Source organism: Homo sapiens, chromosome 2, assembly GCF_000001405.40.
Source record: "Homo sapiens chromosome 2, GRCh38.p14 Primary Assembly".
In the NCBI taxonomy this organism is placed as follows: Eukaryota; Metazoa; Chordata; class Mammalia; order Primates; family Hominidae; genus Homo; species Homo sapiens.
This window is the reverse complement of record NC_000002.12, coordinates 156,519,518-156,543,332: the sequence shown is the minus strand read 5'-3', so window position 1 is coordinate 156,543,332 and position 23,815 is coordinate 156,519,518. Positions and strand designations below refer to the sequence as shown.

General features: G+C 38.2%; 1 protein-coding gene across 10 annotated transcripts in view, besides 3 other annotated features; it reads right to left on the bottom strand.

Annotated features, from left to right (window-relative positions):
• The window catches only part of GPD2 (glycerol-3-phosphate dehydrogenase 2), a 186,123-nt gene that overhangs the window by 43,071 nt on the left and 119,237 nt on the right, over positions 1–23,815 (bottom strand). The window contains exon 1 of one of the 10 annotated variants that reach the window (XM_047443966.1): positions 389–408. The exons of the other annotated variants lie outside the window; for them this stretch is intronic. The gene's annotated coding sequence lies outside the window, so the exon portion shown is untranslated. Of the gene's footprint in view, positions 1–388; positions 409–23,815 lie in introns of those variants that run through there. 10 annotated transcript variants of the gene reach the window in all.
• Positions 1,812–1,861: an enhancer, noted in NCBI's record as "active region_16668". NCBI's record gives its function as "activates an Ori minimal core promoter by ATAC-STARR-seq in GM12878 lymphoblastoid cells {active_cell/tissue: GM12878}" and the evidence as "EXISTENCE:reporter gene assay evidence [ECO:0000049][PMID:35858748]".
• Positions 4,623–4,682: an enhancer, noted in NCBI's record as "active region_16667". NCBI's record gives its function as "activates an Ori minimal core promoter by ATAC-STARR-seq in GM12878 lymphoblastoid cells {active_cell/tissue: GM12878}" and the evidence as "EXISTENCE:reporter gene assay evidence [ECO:0000049][PMID:35858748]".
• Positions 9,962–10,011: an enhancer, noted in NCBI's record as "active region_16666". NCBI's record gives its function as "activates an Ori minimal core promoter by ATAC-STARR-seq in GM12878 lymphoblastoid cells {active_cell/tissue: GM12878}" and the evidence as "EXISTENCE:reporter gene assay evidence [ECO:0000049][PMID:35858748]".

Below are 23,815 nucleotides of genomic sequence, written 5' to 3'. Positions count from 1 at the left end.
TATTCAAATATGAATGAATCACAGTTCAGAGGCTGATCAAATAAAGGAAATGTGCTCAAGGCTTAAAGAGTCTAAGAACAGTCCCCAACCCCTCAATTTCCATTCAACTATGGTCATGGGATCAAGGGGGACTATTATCTCTCTACCTAGCTACCCAACAGACAATGGAAATAGAATGTCTTCAACCACAAAATCTTTGGTGAAAACATAAGCAAAGGGAGGAGGCTAGTGATAAAGTTAAGGTAGCAAGCAGGGTTTTTGGTATATGATTAAGACGGTAAGTGGCAGATTAACGAATGTCTTTAACAAATATTTTTGGGGGTACACATTATGAGCCAGGCATGGTCAAGGTACTAGGCAACCACTGATTTAGGGAGAATAAGATTACCTTGGTCTCTGTCCTATGGAACTTCATTCTAATGAGGAAGACAGATAAAATCAAACAGATTAATAAGAACATTGTTATTGCAATAATGGCAATAAAGGGAAAAACAGAGGAGAACAAATCCCTAGGGCAGGGGCTATATTTTGGACAGGCAGTTACAGAAAGTGTTCAAGTTAAGCAAGAATTAGAGAAAATTCATAAAGGAGGCAATTAAGTTCTAACAGAAAGACCACTTACATCACTGCTAATTTACATTACATTCAAAGCTTATATAAAATATAAAGAACTAGAAATGTGACTATGGTATTAATACAACCTCAATGTGTTAAGTGCCTGGCAAAGTTGATTTTTTCTTTCATTTATACTTTAAAATATTCACCTATGTTTTATGTATATTTATCAGGGGCTAAGTTTAAAAATCTTCCTGGGTTGATGTACATTTTGGCAGAAAATGTATTCTAGTATAGACTGGTGAAACTCAAAATAAAAGCATAATATTCCAAGTTTATGAATTGGAGTAATTTGCTGTCACCTATCCATACTACAGTTCTGAAGCAGGGACACCTGTTAGCAGTGAGCATGTAATCATTTTTATTATTAAATACAAAGGTACAATTAAATGCAGGCACAGGATGTGACCTGCATCATAATTCTACAGGCCTTTCTCTTCACAATATCCTTTTCATTATCCTGGGCCTTTTGTTCCTTCATGTTTCCTTTGTCTCACCCTAAGTTCTGAAATAAGCTATTTGCAATCTCAATAATTAGCAATCGGGGTGGATCTGTGGTCTTTGGCCCCATATAAACGAAACATTGTGAAGTTCCTTAACATGATATATTTAAGTACATAAAGTTTCTATACCCTCAGGACTTTCCTCTCTTGAAAAAGTTTTAAATGAATCTAATGAAAAGTAAGTTTTCTCCTTTTAAGACACTTAGAAGCTAGAGCTGAACAAAAATGAAACCACATTTAAACAGCAAGCAACAGCATGCTTTGGGTATTCATTAGCTATTTCTGTACAAAAATGTTCCACACATTAGTTTACAATAAAGATTCCTTGTGCCTTTCCCAGGACAATCCATTCTCTCTCGACCACAGCCAAAAAAAAAAAAAAAAAAAAAACAAACAGCATTTTATACGTTTAAGGAAGAAAAAGGAAAAGGGAGCAATGTGACAAAATTAATTGAAGTGAAGTTGGAAAGTCAGGAAGCAAGACATGCTATAGAGATCTTTCACAGGCTATGCAGTTATATGGCCTAAAAACCCCTGGTAAGCTTCCTTGTTTGTGAAATGCACTAAATTCATTGATAAACCTTCTTGAAATGCCTGGCTTTGAGGGTAAAGTTATTTCTTTACTGAGAGCAGCACTCTAAATTGCATGGCATCTTAAGCCCAGGAAACTGTCCTGAGGATGCCTGAGATTAATTATTTTTGTAAATATTTATTGAACACCCACTATGCACCAGGCACTAAGCTAAGTACTACTGTGGGGAACAGAAATTGAAAGAGATCAGAATGGCCTAGCTGTCCTGGAACAGAGATACAAGAGCAAATTTACCTAATGTGGAGGAGTCACATGCTCCCAAAAGTCTTTTGATTTTCTAGCACACTTCCTTTCTTCTTCCTCTGCAGTTTTCTTAAAATATTACCAAACAGCATTCTACACATACCTTATTTTCTCTCTTAAGTTAAAGAAAGATTTACAAAGCTTCTTTCACAGGTGTATATGCTTAAGTTCAAGTCCCACATCTATGAACTATGAAATCTCATGCTAGTTGCTTCATCTAAGGTTTGATCTCTCAGCTGTGGAAGGAGAATAGTAATGAGATTAACACAGAGTTATTGTGAGGAAGAAGTGAGATAGATAATGATGCTATGACAAAATAGTTCTCAATAAATATTAGCTTTTATTATTAAAAGGTAAAAAGGAATTGCTGGAAAGCAAAGACTATAACGACAAGATGTGGTTATTGCCTAAAATAACTTTTAAAAACAAAAGCCCTGAAGATTTTCCAGTTCTAAATGGTTTTATTGCTCATCAATCTGGCAAACTTACCCTGAAATGTGTAACAACTAACCTCTAATCTCTGCACTGCATGAATACTGTTTGTTCTTCTTTTACTCCTTTTCTCTCTCTCCACTTTTTACCACTGAAAAATAAGATTCTTTTTTCTGTATGTCATGAAGGATAGGAAGATGGGGAATGGTTTTTAATCCAGAGGAAAACAGTGTTGATAGGAAAATGGATTGTTTCAAAATATTAGAATTATTAAATCTTACTACAGAGGACTTCATTTTCTCTTACAAACCACAGAGCCTCTGTCACTTTTCATAAAGGAAATCTATATTAGCTATAAATTTGGCATCCTGAGAAAATTCAGAAAACTCAAGTTCTAACCTCTTAAATAGCCAGTAAATGGGTATGTTTCCATAGCAGATAACTGTCTCATGTTTTGGTATGGTTTGGTTTTGCTTACTAGCGTCTAAACCCCTCCTCCTATCTTGTAAGCTTTGCAGAAAGGCATTCTACCATCCCATAGGAGAGGAAGAACGGTCCCCTGGGATACAGAACTTTAACCTGGCTTTGCCAGTCCGACGCTCTCAACAGTCTTCGATCTAGAGGTAGTGACCCAAAGAACCTCTAATCCAGAGGTAGATGCAATGATAGCAGTACCATCCCATTTCTAGGGGCAGCAGCAATAGAGATGTCAGCAGTGGTGGCACAGCAAGACGTGACGTGATGAGCAATCAAGTCTTCGGTGCACTGGTTGTGGGTCAGGATTTTGCCTGTGGCTGTGGTTGCTACAAATCATATTTAGTCCCTTATTTTTCAAGCTAGGTCTCTGTCTTCCCAGTATTTCTGCCTGCTGCTCAATGTCCTATCAGAGAATTTCTTTTCTGTTTAAGTTAACCAGATTTTTTGTTTTTCCTGTCTGCAACAAAAACCTGAGCAAGCCCTAACCCCTAATCTCAGTATCCTCATTCCTCGAGCCACAAGTGGAACTTGATCTCTCAGGGCCCTCCAATTTTATAAATTGCAATTTACAAAATTTCAAATAAGCCAACTGAAAACTCAAGAATCGAATTATACAACAAGTCAAAAGAAGCCCTTTGATATAACTAAACCATCTTTCATAATAGGACTGGGAAAAGCAAGTGAATCCTTTCACTTTCACAGAACCATTTTTTTCAGTCCTCTTTTCCTCATTTGTGTGTGAGCACATGCACACAACTTTTTACAAAATGCTGGAATGGCTCAACCTGCCCCAGGGGTGATTTCGAGTGTGAGCTACATAATAAACACATGGAACCATGTGCCAAGGACCAGCTGGGGAATTCTAACTGGAGGCAGCCTTTTGAGAGAGCCTTTATCTGTTTCATGGTAAGTCTTGTACCTTATCAGATTTCTCTCTTTAATCACAGGAAGATTCCACACCTTATCAAATTGTTATCAAATCAGTCTGACCTGAACCCAATGTCCTGATTGTCTGAAAGGAATGTGTACTAGGGCATTTACATGAAAAGCAGGCTAACTCTTGGCCCCCATCAGAGAGCACTGATGCTGGAGACTCCGAATGTGTGAGTTCAGGACCCAACCAGCCACTAACTCAGGTTCTGGGGACGTCCCTTTCCTCATCAGAGTCTGTTTCATCTATTAAGTAGGTCTAACAACAGCCTCTCTACCAATCCCCTAGAACCGCTGAAATAATCAGATTCCAGCATATGTGAAAGCATTTGTAAACTGCAAAGCATTATAAGAATGAAGCTAATATTGTTAACAGATTGCCTTCTACTACATTTACCTTCCTTCTCCTTTTGTTAAGATAACCTTTTATTTAATACCTCAATCATAAACATTCCTCAGTTATCAGAATAACATCTCTCAGCAACCCAGAATTAATGTTTATTTGGAAACTTTATATGGGGCTTGAGACTCTAAAAGATGAAATGAAAAAGTCAGAATTTAATTATCTTTTTAACTATAAAAGCAAAATATTCAGACTTACTTGACAAAGATATCTTTAACAGATATTGTTTTTTAAGCTATAGTTTAGACCATTTCATTGCTTCTGCTTGAACTCTATAGTTACTAGGCAAAATCCTGATCTTTTTTTTTTTTTTTTTTGAGATGCAGTCTTGCTCTGTTGCACAGGCTGCAGTGCAGTGGCGTGATCTCGGCTCACTGCAAGCTCCCCCTCCTGGATTCACACCATTCTCCTGCCTCAGCCTCCCGAGTAGCTGGGACTACAGGAGCCCGCCACCATGCCCAGCTAATTTTTTTGTATTTTTAGTAGAGACGGGGTTTCACCGTGTTAGCCAGGATGGTCTCAATCTCCTGACCTCGTGATCCACCCACCTTGGCCTCCCAAAGTGCTGGGATTACAGGCGTGAACCACCACACCCAGCCAATCCTGATCTTAATTTGGTTATTCAAATAGGTTTGCCCTACTGGATTTTTTTTTTTTTTTAACAGCAATCTGAGTCATCTGTTTTACATGAATGTTTCACTTCTCATAGGAATGAATAAATTAAGGGCAGGAACTTGGTTCTATCCCCCACCATCTTCTCCAAGAGTTTACCTCCTGCAAGGACAACAATGTATGGCATGTAGGAAGGTGTTAAACTATTTGTTGCCTAAAGTAATAAATTCATGATTCAATAGGCTGTGAGTTGGGCTAGTGCCAATCAATTTACCAGAGCCCGATCACCCTAAGCGAAATAATAAAACAGCTATTCTGAACCTTCACAGGCAAGGTCACATGCTGAGGCAGAAGACTGAGATGCAAATACTGTGAGAATCAACTTAATTTCACTACCTCCTAACAGCTAGTAGAATATCTGATGTCTCTCACATAAAAAGACATGAAAAGAAAGTTTATACACAATATAGTTATCAATAAAATAATGTCAAATTGCAACCACATACATCTAGCACTATGCTAGATGCTATTGCCATATTTTTTAAGCCAACAAATGTGTCAATATAAAACATGTAAACATTTAAAACAAAACTTCCCCTCGGGGGTTTGGGGGAACTACCTACAGATATAATCTCTGCCCTTTGTACTTGAAAAAGACTTTTCTAATATTCTAAACAGTTTGATTCTAATCTGTACTCAATAAATATGTGAGAGTTTCAAAATAAGATAATTCAATAAATAGGCTCTAATCTCATTTCTGATAAACTATTATAAAAATTAAATAGTACCGTAATACAGCTCTTTCACCAAAACAGTTTTAATGAATGTCAAAAATACTCCCTTTGTCTCTGAAATGCTGGACAATGGTGACATGTAGTAAGACTCAAATGTGAAAAATAAACAACAGAAGAAGCACACCCTCATACTTCTAATCATTTCCTATAATTTCAAAATAATAATAAATTTAGAAATTAGACAATGTCACACCAAATTGAAAACGTATGACTTAGTTTTACTTTCAACTATACAAGGCTGGGACATACCACGTCTATTACTAATGTTTTTCCTTCTGTTTTATAATGAATCAAATACCATGCTTTCAGTGAGTGGAGTTTCTTGCCCAGACTCCCAGCAATTTTCAAAGACTTCCTGGAAATGCTCGCCAGTGGTTATTGTCAAAGAAAGATTCTATTAGTTTCTGAGACAGTCAAGGTGCCCTTGCCCTGTTGTAATCACTGACAGCATTCAACCTGCAGGGTCAGCCCCACGCAGTCCCTGAGTCAATCCTAAGTCAATCCTGGCAGCCCCTGGCATTATACAGGGAGCCCCATCCCTCTGGAAACTGTTATCTGCCCATAAACTGTTATCTGTCTTTAAGGAACCCCTACACAAAGGAATCCCTGTGCTCACAGGTGTGCAGTCTCTCCCACTGTAGACGTCAAACAGAAGAGTTCCTGCCCCAATATCTGGTTCTCACTCTGTGCTCCTAGTTGAACTAGAACTCTGCTCATATCTGTTTGCTTAGCCAAAGCTCTGACATTCTGCTTAGCTCTTCCCTCAAGTAATGGTCTCTATCTCTCTTTTCAAGGGGATGACCTAGTGTCCTCCATAGACCCCCTCCTCTTCCCACAGAATCCTGAAGATACTGTCATGCATTTGACTCCATGGATCACTTCACTAAGAAAACTATTAATCTGCTTAGACCTGTGCTCAGATCCCACGTACTGATGAGGAGTGGGATGGCTATTAAGATTGCCTAGTCAGCAGAGACAGGTGGTTTGGACTGCTGCCACTCCTTGGTCTGGAAGCCTGATCAGACAGGCTAGATCTTGAGCCCTACTTGTTGCTGGTTTACTTCTCTGCCTCTACCTTAGGAGAAGCCCTGCCCTCAAATCTTGAAGAGTATCCACATTTTAAAGTCAAGAAACCTTTTAGCAGGCATAGTCAAGGTTAAGTGCTGTCACGTATAGCTGTAAATAGATTCTGTGAATTTCTTACTGCCTATAGAAAACAAGAATAAGAGTTACTCATCGATTTTCAATCAATATCGTAGCTGAGGATACAAATTCAAAGGCAATTTTACTTTTTGAGTTTTGAATTCATCTGGTCACAATTTACATGTCAACAATGTTGAATTCTAATTAAGAACCAAAGCCTAAGAATCAAAGACTCAGACTATAATAGTCTACTCACCTTAAGGAGAGGGCAAAATTATAATACATTACTCCACTAAAATACAACTTAAAATACAGCATATTAATCTTCAACTTAATACTCATCTCAAAACTTCTGAGGAGCACTACACAAAGATGCTTTTGTAAAACAACCTCGCAGCACTTTGACGTGACCGTATGTTCATTAAAAGGAAGTATTACTACTTACATACATAAGGTACATAATGAATTCAGTATGTGTCTAGAGTTGGCTAATGCCATTAAAGCACATGCCAGAAGCACAGACTATAAATCAAAATGCGATTTGTCAAAGAGCTTAATATGATACAGGTTAAAAATAAATAAATAAGCCACTAATATCCTGATAGGGGATTGGTGAGGAGAGCTAAGCCTAAACTGAGACCAGGTTGCAATTGACATGCCTTTGTTCTATCTATAGCTTTGGCTATTCCTCTCTCTCTTCCACCTGGATAAGTACAAAATTAGCATGCACCAGGCATTCTTCACTCCCCAGAGGGTTTATATCTCTAACACCGCTTTAAAGACTGATATTCTTTCCAAAATGCTGACATAAACCAGTTGGGCAATCACAGATTTTTTAAAGCCCACATTACCGAAGCTTTAAAAGATCTAGATTATTCTTAAAACAGAATTTGGGAACACTTGACATTCATTTATTAATTCACTTCCAAATCAAAGATGTAACAAAAGACAAGAAAGGGCGGCTACACAAATAAAGAGGTAAGCCACAAAGACAACTAACAAAACAAAACAAAAAAAAACAACAACAAGAAAATCTGGGTAGTAGATGCTGGAGTTGTCCAAGAAATTAAAGCAAGCAGATGGATAATGGCCCATGTAATATGCCTTCTCTTTCCCAGGTCTTTCTTTCTCTCTCTCTCTCTCTCTCTCTCCCCACCCCCCTCTCTTTCCTAGGTCTCTCTCTCTCCCCGCCCCCCCCCAGGTCTTTTTCTCTTTCTCGCTCTCTCTCTCTTTCTTTCTTTCTCTCTCTTCTCTCTCTCTCTCTTTCCCAGGTCTTTTTCTCTTTCTTTCTCTCTCTTTCTCTCTCTCTCTCTCACCTGGGATTCCTTCCCATCAGCATAAAATCTCATCTAATGCCCTCCTATTAATCATTCAGTTTTCTGCACCCTGAGTACCTGTATCAAATGCTGTTTGCATTCACTGGATGCCCATTGCCTAGAGAATTCAAACTAAACTCCTCATCCTGGCATACCTTGTCCTCCATGATTCAGGCCCTACACCACCCTACACTCAAGCTCTACACAACTGCTTCCTGTAATTCCATGGGTCTGCATGCTTTGGCCACAGTGTTCCCTGTCATCTTCCTCCCCCACTGACTTTACCTGGCCATACTACCCTTTCTTAAAATTTAGCAAAGCATTACTTACTTAAGGAAGCTTTCCTAGATTCTCTCACACACATACCCATATTAGGTATATGCTTGTCACAGAACTTCTCACAGGCAACCATAAATCAATGGTTTCCTTGTCTGTATCCTCTGTTAGAGTTTTTTTTTTTTTAAGAAAAAGCAATTCATGTTATTCTGTTCATCTCCATTACCTATCACATTAGCTGACTTATAGATGGTATTCATATAATTACTGGATACATAAATAAATGTAAATGCTAGTCATGTGAAAAAACAACTGAGAATACTATCTTACTTAGAAAGCTATAAACCTACAGATTCTTTCAACTTACTATACAAAATGCTGCTTCCTTTATAGTCATTCCAATCCCAAGACTAATACATTAAATCTAATATTGAAGAATAGAGTACAGAAGTAAACAAAAGAAAATCTTACAGAGTATTGATACTCATTTTGATATGGACAGGAGGCAAGGAAATACTGGGTAGAAGAAGGCAGTTCCCTGGCAAAGGCCCCACCCTCAAGCCTGGAAACCCATGGCCCTAAATGGGAACAGGCATTCCTGTTTTTGCACCCAAACATTTCCTTTTGGCCTGCTGCATCCCTGCATCGTGTACCATTATAAACCCCAAACCCCAGGCTCCTCGAGCAGATGAGCAGATAACAGATAAGCAGAAGAGCAAAGAAGCAGAAGAGTGGCACAGCAGAGGAGAGAAGAGAAAGGGCATTTAAACATCAAGAAGAGTTTGGCTGTGGATGGTCAGAGAGGAGATCGGCCACAGGACGGCCAAACTCCAGGCGAAGTTCATATTCCCACTCCATCCCCTTTCTAGCTCCCCATCCATCTGCTGAGAGCCACCTCCACCTGGAAATAAGACACCCCGCATTTACCATCCTTCAATTTGTCTGTGTGACCTGATACTTCCTGGATACCAGACAAGAACCTGGGTACCAAGAGGGCACTGAGCTGGTTAACGCTTTAGCTTTCTGCAGATGGCAGAGCTAAAGGAGCATTGTGACATGCCCACTGGGGCTTCAGGAGTCACAGACACCCACCCCTAGACGCTACCGTGGGCTGGAGCCCAAAAGCGCTCACCCTGGCTCCTGCAGCTGCCCTTCTGTGTGCTCCCCCTCCCATAAGGGGTTTGAGCATGGTGGCCGAACAGATGAGCCACACCCATTGCACATCCTGCGAGGGGGGTCAGAGAACTCTCCCATTCCAATTTTAAAATTTTACATACATGCAGCAACAGTATAATGTATGCCTAGACCTACATTGGGCACACCTCAATTCAGAAGTATCACATATCAACATTCAGTCAACTTCTTCCCAATAATCACACACCATGAAATTCAGCACTGTTGACAGGAAGTTTTCTCTTATCTTGGGACTTCCTGCAAATTTCTGGAGAGCAGATTTTTAAAAAACTATCTAGAGCTAATAAGATCTAAACCTGAGGCCTTGCTGACAGAATCAGATTATTCAATGGACTAAAAGGCTGAATGGTGAGACGCAGGCTGGTCAAGAAGCCCTGCAATTTTGGAAGCTGCAGCTTCAGCAACAGAAACACAAGGGAGAATTCAAATACTGCTGTCAAATGCTCCAACATTTCTCGAGAACTCATAGCTCATAGCTCATGAGTTGATGGAGGAGAAAAAGACTGCTCAGCTTTTCATTATTTCTCTTCAACAGATTAACCAATTACACATATAGAAACCACCACAATCTAGCTAAGTGCTCTTCAGGGCTACATGCTATGAAATTTCTGAAGGATACCTGTTTCACTCTGGACAGGAAGAAAACAACAATGAGAGTGGTCACAACCCACTGCACCAAGAGAAACATTCTGCACTCAGTGACTGCTGCTTCCTTCAGCCTTAGGAAACTTCCCGTCTTGTGAAGGGTGAGGAACAATTTGAAAGTCTGGAGTAACTTCATTCTCTCCCATCCCTGACCACCCCTCAGGCCTTTAGGCTTTAGGCCTCACCTGCTGACATAGCTCTTCTAGCAAACAGAGACTCCTTTCTGATGCAGCACTACAGCTCTTTCACAATATAAATTAGAAAAACTTTTATGGCAACTAATCCTTATTTGTGATTCTGTCCAATACTAGACAAATCATGATTTCTATATCAAATGTGGGTCACAGAGGAGGAAATTAGGGAATTTACTTTTTCCCAAGCCCTCTACTACCCAATGTCCTTCTAAATTCCTATAAAGCATTTGTCAGTTATACTCAGAATTTCTGACTTGGTTTCATCCAGTTTCTGGGTGGCAGTGCCCTCCAGTAACTCCTATTGCCACCAATAGAATAATTTCAATAAAAGAGCTGCTAGGATCAGCCCCTCCTGATGGCTCTAAAATTTCAAGTTCAATATTTGTGAAAAATGGTTAAAATGCCATAATTCAAAGGGAATTTACAAGGGTAAGTTGTCTGAAACCTATTGTTCAAAAAGTGCAGGTAACAAGGAAAAAGTACCTCCTTAAAATTTAATGGTGGGGGAGCACATGGGGAGAAGAGAAAAAGTCCAATCATAGATAACCACTGGGCACACAGAAGGCCCTTGATTATACCTAGATGTAACTAAAGGCTTGTTAAACTGAGACACATAATCACAAAAAGGTAGAAAATAAAACTAAATTAAAATCTGGGGGCTGGATGCAGTGGCTCACATCTGTAATCCCAGCACTTTGGGAGGCCAAGGTGAGAGGACAACTTGAAGCCAGGTGTTCATCACCAGCCTGGGCAACAAAGCAAGGCCTTGTCTCTGCAAAGAGTTTTTTAAAAATAAAAACTAGCCAGATGTGTTGGTGCACAACGATAGTCTTAGCTAGTCGGAGGCTGAGGAGATTTGCTTAAACTCCAGAGGTCAAGACTGCAGTGAGTTGTGATCACTCCACTGTACTCCAGCCTAACAACTGAACGAGACTTTGTCACTTAAAAAAGTAAAAATAAAAATAAAATTACATATTAATATATATTATATATTTATTAACATAAATCTATAACCCCTATCTTTGGACTGCCTCCCCAGCCCTTTTGGTGGAGTAGGCAGGGGCCTGAGAAGTGACAAGATGGGATATTAAAGGACCAAGTGGGCTCCAGGCATTGCTGGAACCTGTGGCCCTCCATTTGTCCTATGGAGAGAGGGAAAGCACCACAGTGGTCCATGCCTAGGCTGAAGGCCCCATTGTGTTGTGGAGGGCCCTCAGATTACCATTCTGGGACTGAGAAGGGCAGTGTCCTTCCTGGCCAGGTGGGAATATTGCAGCTGGCCTCCAGGAGTGAGCTCCATGGTGCAGACTCAGTGGCCTCAGCCCAGATCTGGTTAATGGGCCACTCGTGGCCTCCACATGCAGGTGCCACACGACATCTGTGGCCTCAGCCTGGCTCTTAAGATAAGGTCCGGCTTTGCTACAGACAGCTGGTTTTGCAAATGAGAGACCCCGGTTTTTGTCAGAACCATTTTAAAGTAAATGAAAAGAAACTCTCTACTGTCAGGGCCAGTGCTGATGTGCAGAAAATACCCTTGCATCTTCTGGAGAGAAGTGTCACAAAGCCTGGGGTTGCTACAGTTGCCACTTACTCTCCTGTCTGTGTTCTCCTGACCTCAGGGGATGAGAACATCAAAAGCATCAACCAGCAGTAAGGAGCACATGTGGAGTTTCAGCAGAAATCCCCCTTCCCAACACTAACACCAATCTGTGGATTTTAAATACATATATATTTAAAGGGGGCAGGGGTGAATTAAAACTATGCATATTTGGGATGGGATGGGGAGAAGAGAAGACCAAAGTAACATTAAACAGCAAATGTAGCAAATTAAAATAATTAAACTTCAGTGAGTGAAGTGTTTAATCGCATCTAGATATTTACATCACTTTAAATATTACTCTAAATTGTATATGTATTTCATTATGTTTGTGTTAATAATGTTTATGCTTGGTTTTTTGAAAATAGAGTCTTAAACAAAGCACCGTGGTGCATGCCCACACTCCCAGCTACTTGGGAGACTGAGGTGGGAGAATCACTTGAGCCCAGGAGTTCAAGTCCAGCCCAGGAAACAAAGTGAGGCACTGTCTCTAAAAACATAAAAAATAAACAAACAGCATTGTTTGCTACTTTAAAAAACCGAATCCAGCAGCACATCGAAAAGCTTATCCACCATGATCAAGTGGGCTTCATCCCTGGGATGCAAGGCTGGTTCAATATACACAAATCAATAAATGTAATCCAGCATATAAACAGAACTAAAGACAAAAACCACATGATTATCTCAATAGATGCAGAAAAGGCCTTTGACAAAATTCAACAACGCTTCATGCTAAAAACTCTCAATAAATTAGGTATTGATGGAACGTATTTCAAAATAATAAGAGCTATCCATGACAAACCCACAGCCAATATCATACTGAATGGGCAAAAACTGGAAGCATTCCCTTTGAAAACTGGCACAAGACAGGGATGCCCTCTCTCACCACTCCTATTCAACATAGTGTTGGAAGTTCTGGCCAGGGCAATTAGACAGGAGAAAGAAATAAAGGGTATTCAGTTAGGAAAAGAGGAAGTCAAATTGTCCCTGTTTGCAGATGACATGATCGTATATCCAGAAAACCCCATTGTCTCAGCCCAAAATCTCCTTAAGCTGATAAGCAAAGTCTCAGGATACAAAATCAATGTACAAAAATCACAAGCATTCTTATACACCAACAACAGACAAACAGAGAGCCAAATCATGAGTGAACTCCCATTCACAATTGCTTCAAAGAGAATAAAATACCTAGGAATCCAACTTACAAGGGATGTGAAGGACCTCTTCAAGGAGAACTACAAACCACTGCTCAAGGAAATAAAAGAGGATACAAACAAATGGAAGAACATTCCATGCTCATGGGTAGGAAGAATCAATATAGTGAAAATGGCCATACTGCCCAAGGTAATTTACAGATTCAATGCCATCCCCATCAAGCTACCAATCACTTTCTTCACAGAATTGGAAAATAGTACTTTAAAGTTCATATGGAACCAAAAAAGAGCCCACATCGCCAAGGCAATCCTAAGCCAAAAGAACAAAGCTGGAGGCATCACGCTACCTGACTTCAAACTATACTACAAGGCTACAGTAACCAAAACAGCATGGTACTGGTACGAAAACAGAGATATAGATCAATGGAACAGAACAGAGCCCTCAGAAATAACGCCACATATCTACAACTATCTGATCTTTGACAAACCTGAGAAAAACAAGCAATGGGGAAAGGATTCCCTATTTAATAAATGGTGCTGGGAAAACTGGCTAGCCATATGTAGAAAGCTGAAACTGGATCCCTTCCTTACAGCTTATACAAAAATCAATTCAAGATGGATTAAAGACTTAAACGTTAGAATTAAAACCATAAAAACCCTAGAAGAAAACCTAGGCATTACCATTCAGGACATAGGCATGGGCAAGGACTTCATGTCTAAAACACCAAAAGCAATGGCAACAAAAGACAAAATTGACAAATGGGATCTAATTAAACTAAAGAGCTTCTGCACAGCAAAAGAAACTACCATCAGAGTGAACAGGCAACCTACAAAATGGGAGAAAATTTTCGCAACCTACTCATCTGACAAAGGGCTAATATCCAGAATCTACAATGAACTCAAACAAATTTACAAGAAAAAAACAAACAACCCCATCAAAAAGTGGGCGAAGGAAATGAACAGACACTTCTCAAAAGAAGACATTTATGCAGCCAAAAAACATATGAAAAAATGCTCACCATCACTGGCCATCAGAGAAATGCAAATCAAAACCACAATGAGATACCATCTCACACCAGTTAGAATGGCAATCATTAAAAAGTCAGGAAACAACAGGTGCTGGAGAGCATGTGGAGAAATAGGAACACTTTTACACTGTTGGTGGGACTGTAAACTAGTTCAACCATTGTGGAAGTCAGTGTGGCGATTCCTCAGGGATCTAGAACTAGAAATACCATTTGTCCCAGCCATCCCATTACTGGGTATATACCCAAAGGACTATAAATCATGCTGCTATAAAGACACATGCACACTATGTTTACTGCGGCATTATTCACGATAGCAAAGACTTGGAACCAACCCAAATGTCCAACAATGATAGACTGGATTAAGAAAATGTGGCACATATACACCATGGAGTACTATGCAGCCATAAAAAATGATGAGATCACGTCCTTTGTAGGGACATGGATGAAATTGGAAATCATCATTCTCAGTAAACTATCGCAAGAACAAAAAACCGAACACCACATATTCTCACTCATAGGTGGGAATTGAACAATGAGAACACATGGACACAGGAAGGGGAACATCACACTCTGGGGCCTGTTGTGGGGTGGGGGGAGGGGGGAGGGATAGCATTGGGAGATATACCTAATGCTAGATGACAAGTTAGTGGGTGCAGCGCACTAGCATGGCACATGTATACATATGTAACTAACCTGCACATTGTGCACATGTACCCTAAAACTTAAAGTATAATAATAATAAAAATAAATAAATAAATAAATAAAAGAAAAAAAGAAAAAAATTGACATAATTGAGTGGAGAAATATGTTTATCTCTCTTTGCTCATACTTAAGGATAATGAAAATACCAATTTTACCAAAATCTGTGATGAGAAAAAGAAATATACAAGTAGAAGACAGAGGAAAAAGGCAAAAATACACATATCAATCTGGCTTTATATAATAGACATGTTTCAATCCGGTTTTATACAATAGACATGTTTCTTACAATTAGCGTGGACTATTATCTATTAATTTAAATGCTGTTGGAAGAGGCAACTATTGAAAATAATAAATTGGGTTTATTTTATTCTTTTATTAGAATGAGAGTAGTCAGTTTATCCAATTTGTAAATCCTGACTATATTCAGATTAGTTTTTTAATGATAATGTATTTTTACCTTCTTTTTCACTAAAATGGTTCTGAGGTAACTATTGAAGTACAATGCTTTGCACACGGGGAATTATTAAAAGAGAGAACTGCCTGTGAGCTGCTTCTCAGTTACCTTTTTCAGACTTCAACCTTCTTAAGGAAAATAAAACACAAATCACCAAATCCATTCTTTGTAGGATTTCTCGGGTTAAAAACTAAGAAAATTTAAAATTCCTGGGAAATATGAAGTTTCTGGTGTACTGATTTACCTGGTCTATCCCAGGTAAATCAGTTACATGTTAATCATCTTTGACATAAAAATATCAAGTACAAATTATTTGATATTGCTTTTAATTTGGTAGTTGCTTTCATTATTATATACTTTTTTATTTTATTCTCAAATATCTATTCTTCTGAATAGATAGCAAATCATATACTAGTAACACTTTCCAGTGAATGCAAGAGTATATATTTGGTTTTGAACAGAAAAGGAGCAATAGTTATTTAACTTGTGTGGGAGGTTAGTTGCGTGTGCCTGTATGTTTTTTAATGTGCAAAGATGAGTTAAAAAAAATAGGTGTTGTGTGGTTCATGCTTGAGTGGATATAATGATCTACAGAGGGTTTTACTAATGTAAGTGTGATATGAGTAAGTATTAATAGTAATAATGAAACTAGTTTGAAACTTCACATTCTAAAATAGTAATCTATTTGGCTCCAGAGAATATAATCTACACCAAGGTGTTAGTTATATTTATAAAAACTATGTACCGAAGACTTTTTTTCACAGTTTTTTTTTTATTACATTTCCAAGGCTTGGTAGTTGAAACTAAAGTGTGGGGCTTTTTAATTGAAGAGATATTTTTATTACTGCCATTCTTTGTGAGGTTAGATGCTTAATACCAGGCTGGCTTTCCATTACACTAAGAAAGCTGCTGTGTGTCATCTGCAGAATAACTCCAAAATTGATTTAATTATTAATTTTTTACTCTCTTTCTTCCTTTTCCCAAACAGGTATCTGGGCAAAGACTCCTGATCCTCTTGAAAGAATGCTAGAAAATATGTGAAGAATGGGTACAGCAGAGAGAAACTAGGGACTATGCCAACAGATACGTGAGGCATTATATTGTCCACACAATAAAGTAGCAAGAAAAATTAGTTCCTGAAGAACAATCCTTACAGCTTCCTGAAGACCAATCATTATGGCCTTTTATTTCCCATTTATTTCCCCATATTGCAATGTCAGTTATTTCCTCCTCTCCTTGTTTCCAAATGTGACCTATAAAATTTTGTTTTTCTGAAGGAGAATCACTCTGAGACGAATTCATTAGATAGTTACTGCAAGCTTCAAAATGCAGTATTTTTAAGCATGGCTTACATTTCTTGGGCATGTGTTCTCCGAATGTCTTTGAAACAAAAGCAGAAAGTCCCTCAAATTTTTATATCTTAAACTACAATTAATTAGCTTTATCTCTAAATTTTAAAAAATGCACCATTAATATAAAGCATATCAACACAAATTTTACCAAGAAGTATAATTTCACATATTAGTATAAGACAGACTCATCTATTTAAAAGACTATAATTGACAGAAGCACTTAGTCTGACTAAGCATATTAGCATTCAATGCAAGCAAATGTTATGAACCAGATTTTAGCAAATTTGAACAAATCACAGCATATTTTACATAATGATAATAACAGCATTTGAGACTCTCTGATTAATTTTAAGCTCTCTACACAGATCAGACTAGTGGATGTGTCATTGTTTTGTGGTATCCAAAGAAAGGAAATAAGATTTTATTTTCACTTATAAAAAGAAAAATAATTTGAAAGTGTGGTTTATTGATGGCTAAGGCTGTATGAGCAGGTATATTTTGATCTAAGCAGTTAACATGGCTATGAAATGTAATTCCATAAAAGTTGGTCCCTGCTTTTAAATTCACCTTTTAAAATTTTGTGGCCTCTTATACTTATGGAAAGCAGTATCTACTCTATTAGGTGAAAAAAGCATGGCACTACTACCACCTACAAAATGGTAGGCAGAGCAAAAACAAGTGTACATATAATAAACACATATGCATACATACGTTAAAAGAACATACCAAAATCCTAAAAAAATTTTTTAAGTTAATTTTAAAGAAGGAGGGAATAGGGCAGAACAAGGAAAGAAGCTAGCCTTGTTTGAATTGTCTTTGTTTACATTTTTTACTTTAAAACACTTTATTTACATAATTTATAAAACAGAAGCACAGTTTAAAAAAATAAATTCCTAATCATCTAAAGCAAAATGAAATTATCTGTTGTATTAAGTGGTGACATAACCACACTTATAGGAAATAAATATGTTAAGTCACTTTAAAAGACAGTAATTTGTCCGTATGTCCCCATTCAACAACGAAACTGAAAAATAAAATTAAACTGTTTTGGAAGTCTGATTGATAACGTTAAATAAAAACCATGTAATACTAAATTTGAAGTGGAACTGTATCTAAAAACTCAACATGTTTTTCTTCTTCACATAATTTTTTTCCTAATTTTTTCTATTGAAAGGCCTAGAAATAATGACCAACCAGTAGCAATGAACCTTCATAGCAAATAGATTATGGTCCCTAGTTACCATTTTCCACATGAGGGAGTCAAGTGTTACTGAAGAAATGGCTGCTTCCAAAACTAGGGAAGGAAAGTTTCAAGATGAAACCGGAGTATCTTGTCATAGCAAACAGCACAGAAATCATCATAGACCACTGACAGGGTATCAAAAGGGCTCAGGGGCCAACTGCAGGAAGTGCCCCAGGGCCAGAGATGGGCAATATGAACATCAATAATTCTGATGGATTGACATGTATCTATCAAATACTTCAAATTCATGAGTTTATGTTGACAAGCTTCCCCTCAGAAAAAGATCTCATTACATTTGGAGGATACTAAAAAAGCTAACTCATTATTTTTGAGTACAAATAAATGAAAAGAATCAAGCATTTATCCAGACTTTCCTATATACAATATACCTTAAGGTAGGCAGATAGTTGATACAGGGAAATTATAAGTAATCCAACTAACCCATAAAGAAGGAAAAATAGAATTATAAAAGTAACATTTTATAACCCCTTAACCTCTAATGAAATGCTGTAATTATCTAGGCAATAATTATAATTACTAATTTAAAAAAATTAAAAAGAGGTAAACAGACTTGTGATGGAAATTTACATCACCCATAAAGTATTTTTGACAAAACAATTTGATCTAGCCTTTTTGTTGCTAGTCACCAAATATGTCCCACCTCTCCTCAGTAAACTACGCCTTCTGCTTTTCTTACTTTTGTAATCCCCTCTCTTTTAAGTTTGGCTGCTTTTGTGATTTACTTTAATTAACAGAATGTGGTGAAAGTGACACTGTGTGACTTCTAAGACTAGGTCAAAAGAAGCCCTCTGTTTCTGCTTTGGTCTCCTGGTGGGCTCATGGGGTAAGCCAGCCACCACATAAGAAGTCTGTACCCTGTGAAAAAGTCCAAGCTAGCCATACAGAGAAGCCATGGTGAAAGAGGTGCCAGACCAAGTTGTGGCCACCCCAGCCTTCCAAGTCCAGGCACCAAACAGGAAAGTAAAGAAGCCTTTAGAAGACTTCAGCCCCAGCTGCCATCTCACTATAACTATATAGAAGGACCCCAAGTGACAACCACCCAGCTGAGCCCATCCATCCTCAGAACTATGAGAAATAACCAATCATTGTTTTAAGCCACTGAGCTTAGGTGTTGCTTCTTATGCAGCAACAGATTAATGAGACAAGTCTACCAATTTACATCAAAGGGAAACTGTTACATAAAACCATCAGGAAACAAAAAAAGGGACTGGAAACCTATCAGTTAAAAAAGAATGAATCCACACTGGGGGCTCCAAAAGGTGGGGGTGGGTGGGAAGAGGGTGAGAGTTAAAAAGCTACCTATTGAGTATAATGTTCACTATTTGGGTGATGGGTTCACTAGAAGCCCCAACGTCACCATTAAGCAATAATATATCCATGTAACAAACCTGTACATGTGCCCCTGAATCTAAAATATAATAACAACAATAAAAAGAATGAATCAACTTATATGTAAGATTTTGTCTATTTTTTATGAGTTGGTTTTTAAAATCAGGAGCCTAATAAAGTTATGAGATTATAAGGGACATGTGAACATAACCAGATATTTGATATTAAGAAATTATTGTTGGCTGGGTATAGTGGCTTATGCCTGGAATCCCAGCACTTCGGGAGGCCAAGGTGGGAGGATCACTTGAGCCCAGGAGTTCAAGACCAGCCTGGGCAACAGAGCAAGACCCCATCTCCATAAAATATCTATCTATCTATCTATCTATCTATCTATCTATCTATCTATCTATCTAGAAAAGAAATTATTGTTGAACAATTTAGGTGTGGCTGTGTTTGAAAGAGAGTTCTTAACTTTAAAGATACAGACTAAATATCCATGGATAAAACATTTGTTATAGTGGGGAGTGGGGGAAAGGGGAAATGAGAGTATAGACTGGCCATGAGTTTATAAGTGTTTGGTCATGAGTTTATAAGTGCTAAAATTGAAAGTTAATTTTATTATTCTCATTAATTTTGCATATATTTGAGTTTTCCATAATAAAATTGGATAGCCTTTGTTGAACTATTTGGCTACTTTTTAAAAGTGTATAACGAACTTAAAAATCAATGGTAGCTGACATACTGTAGGATTCCAACTACATGTCATTCTGGGAAAGGCACAACTCTGGAGACAGTGAAAAGATCATTGGTTGCCAGGGGTTAGGGGAGGGGGAAGGATGACTAGGCAGAGCACAGAGGATTTTTAGGCCAGCGAAACTATTCAGTATGATATGGCAGTGGTGGATACATATCATTATATATTTATCAGAGCCGACAGAATGTACACCAAGAGTGAAACTTCATGTAGACTATGGACTCTGGGTGATAATGATGTGTCCATGTAGGTTCATTGACTGAAACGAATGCTTCACTGCAGTGAGGGATGTTGATAGTGGGAGAGTCTAAACATGTATGGGAGCAGGGGGGAAAGAGGAAGTCTCTGTACCTTTCTCTCAATTTTGTTGTGAACCTAAAATTTCTCTAAAAAAGTAAAGTCTTTAAAAAGAAAAAAAAAAATCAATCATAGCTGAAAGAAGCCATGATGCTATAATCTTCATTTTGTAAAGTCCTCTTTTTAGCTAAAAAATAAAATTATCTTCACATCCCCATGTATCTAAACTATCAATGTAGATTTTTAGCTATGATTCCTCTTCCTTCCTGTAAAATAGAGATCATAATATCCTATCCCAGCATACATACAAAGTTAGTTCAAAGATAATTTCTGCAAAAAAAAAAAAAAAGCTTAAAAAACCACACTCTGCTACACAAATGTAAAACATTGGTGGTGGTAGGGACCATGTATTTGGCAAAATATATGGCATATATGTACAATGCCTGGCAAATAGTAGAGGTTCCATAAATATTTTTTGGATGAATGAGTAAATCAAGAGAAGAGTGGACAAAGATTTTTGATACAATAGCTTCTGCCTTTGATCCTGAATCTTTTTTAAATGGGTCAACTGAACCACAGAATGGGAGAGGTAAATAGCTTACTATGAACCCACTAGAACTATCTGTTCAAACAACTTACATACATCCTACTACTGGAGAATTTTTAGCACTGTCTTTAAGCTTTTATATACAGAGTACAAATATGGATGACTACTATCTCGGCTTGCTATACCTGATCAAATCTACTTTGGTGGATTTTAATTTTAAAAAAAGCAAATTATAAGAGAATGAAAGCCTGGTATTTAATACATGCTGGGCAAGTGAGCAATAAACAATTGCAAAGTTTCCTGGGGGCTATTTTGCTCTATCTCATCATCAGGAAGCTAAAACATATGCTGGATGTTAGCCTGGGTGGACACAGTGTGTCCTATTTATTCAAGGTTTCCTTTGAAGCCACAATTTATAAGTTTTGTTTCTTAGGGGTACATGTCAAACTTCATTTAGCATTAGCTGGTATCCAGATACACTGAATAGCAAAAAGGCAGCATTTGGGGGCAAAAAAAAATATGCCTGCTGTATGAGCAATGATGTCAGTTTCATTTATGTAACTCATAGAAAACAAGAGGAGAAATACAACAGGAAAGCTGACAGTAGGAAATCAAGATTAAAACTATTCATTTAGTTTAGAAGTGTAAAATTGCATATGAACAAGGAGAAATATTAAAAGCAAATATGTTTTAAATCAATGTCTAAGAGGAAGGAATGTTTAGAGGAAGTTCTATTAAAATGTTATGGTTTTTAATTCTTAAACTTCAAAGATTATACTTACCTGAGGCATGTTCATATGTGCAATATTTTTTCCTTTTATCCTAAGAATGTTTGGCAAGTTTTTCTAGAAGAATCTTCAAATTTTAAACATACAAGGGGATGCTTGTGGAACTGATGCTTCACTTTGGAATATTTTCACAAAAAGTAGAAATTTGGTGGACTATAGAGTATCCATGAAATTGACCCCCCAAAAATAATACGGGAGTAATGTTTTGTACTTATAAATTATTTTGCATTTATTATAGTAGTTCATTTAAATATCAAAACAGCCTGTGAATTAGGTGTCATAAGCCTAAATTTATAGATGTGTAATGCAGAGCTCAAAGTGCAGTTAAGTTTGTAAACCTAAGTCATCTCCTTCCATATTGCTGATTGATTTAAAGACCCTACAATACTTTGGAAAGTAGCTTTCTAGTATGATTGCAATGCTTACAATTCCAAAACAATTTATCATGCCATTTTCAACATTATTTTTCTAAGATTCATCTGTGTTGTTCAGTTTACAGTTCATGCACTTTCAATGCTGTGTTTTACTCCATTATGTGAACAGACCATATATTAAATATTCATTTTCCTCTTGATGGATATTTGCATTACTTCCCTTTTTGAAATTATACCCAGTGCTTCTATGAACTTTTTGTACATATACCCTGGTAGACACATGCAACAGTTCCCCTAAGGCATATACCTACTAATAAAATTACTAGATCACAATGTACCCCCAACTTTTCTAGGCATGTCCAACTGCTCTACAAAATTTATATCACCTTATGTAACCATCACATAATACTTTTACAAAGTTTAAAAATAAAACTGAACAGCCGGGCATGGTGGCTCACGCCTGCAATCCCAGCACTTTGAGAGGCTGAGGCAGGCGGACTGCCAGAGCTCAGGTGTTCGAAACCACCCTGGGCAACATGGTGAAACCCCATCTCTACTGAAATACAAAAAAATTAGCTGGGCATGGTGGCACGTGCCTGTAATCCCAGCTGCTCAGGAGACCGAGGTGGGATAATGGCTTGAGCCCGGGAGGTGGAGGTTGCAATAAGCCAAGATCGTGCCACTGGACCCTGCTTGAGCGACAGAGTGAGACTCCATCTCAAAATAAATAAATAAATAAATAAATAAATAAATAAATAAATAACAATAAAAATAATTTTAAAAATAAATAAATAAAACTGAACAATACATTACTTTAGAAATACATGTACATATAATAAGATTATTAGAAAGACCAGGAACCCTAATAATACAATTCAGCATAGCAGTTATTTCTAGGGAAGACAAGGAAATGAAATGGTGAATAGTCACAGTTGGCTTCAATGTCTTGGTAATATCCTAGTGATATTGGACAGGAGGCAGGGAAATACTGGGTAGCAGAGGGTAGTTCCCCGGCAATGGCCCCATCCACAAGCCTGGGCCCATGGCCCTAAATGAGAACTTCATATCCCTGTTTTCCCACCCGAATGTTGTTTTTTCAAAAACCACCCTGACCCACAACACCCCCATCCTGTACCTATAAAAACCCCAAATTCCACCGGCAGAGGAGTGGAGTGGCATAGCAGAGAATGAGAGAAAAGAAGAGGCAGCTGGACGGTTGGAGACAGGGAGGTTATCTTCCCACTCCATCCCCTTTCCAGCTCCCCATCCCACTGAGGGCCACCTCCACCACTCAATAAAACCTCTGCATTCACCATCCTCCAAGTCTGTATGACCTGATTCTTCCCAGATGCTGGGCAAGAACCTGGGTACCAAGAAGGCAAGGTGTAAAAGGCTGTCACCCTGACTCTCCACTGAGCTGCTTAATACTTAGCCATCTTGGATGGCAACTGCCAAAAGAGCATTAATCATAACACACCCCTAGATGCTGCCATGGGGCTGGAGCCCAAAGGCACTCACCCTGGCCCAGGCACCTGTTTGCCTGGGTGCTCCCCCACCCACAAGGGGTTTGAGCACCCGGCCAGGTAATCGAGCCACACCCCTGTCGCAAGTCCCACGAAGGGTCCAGGCAACTCTCCTATCTCACTAGGTTTTAAGGACAGTTGCAGATCCCACAATCTTAATGACTAACTTTACAACTTACATACGTGTTACACGTATTCTTTTATGTGTATCAATATTTACATAATTTTAAACCTTGGTTGCACAATAATAAGGATACAAAAAGGGTAGGAGCCCTGGAAATTG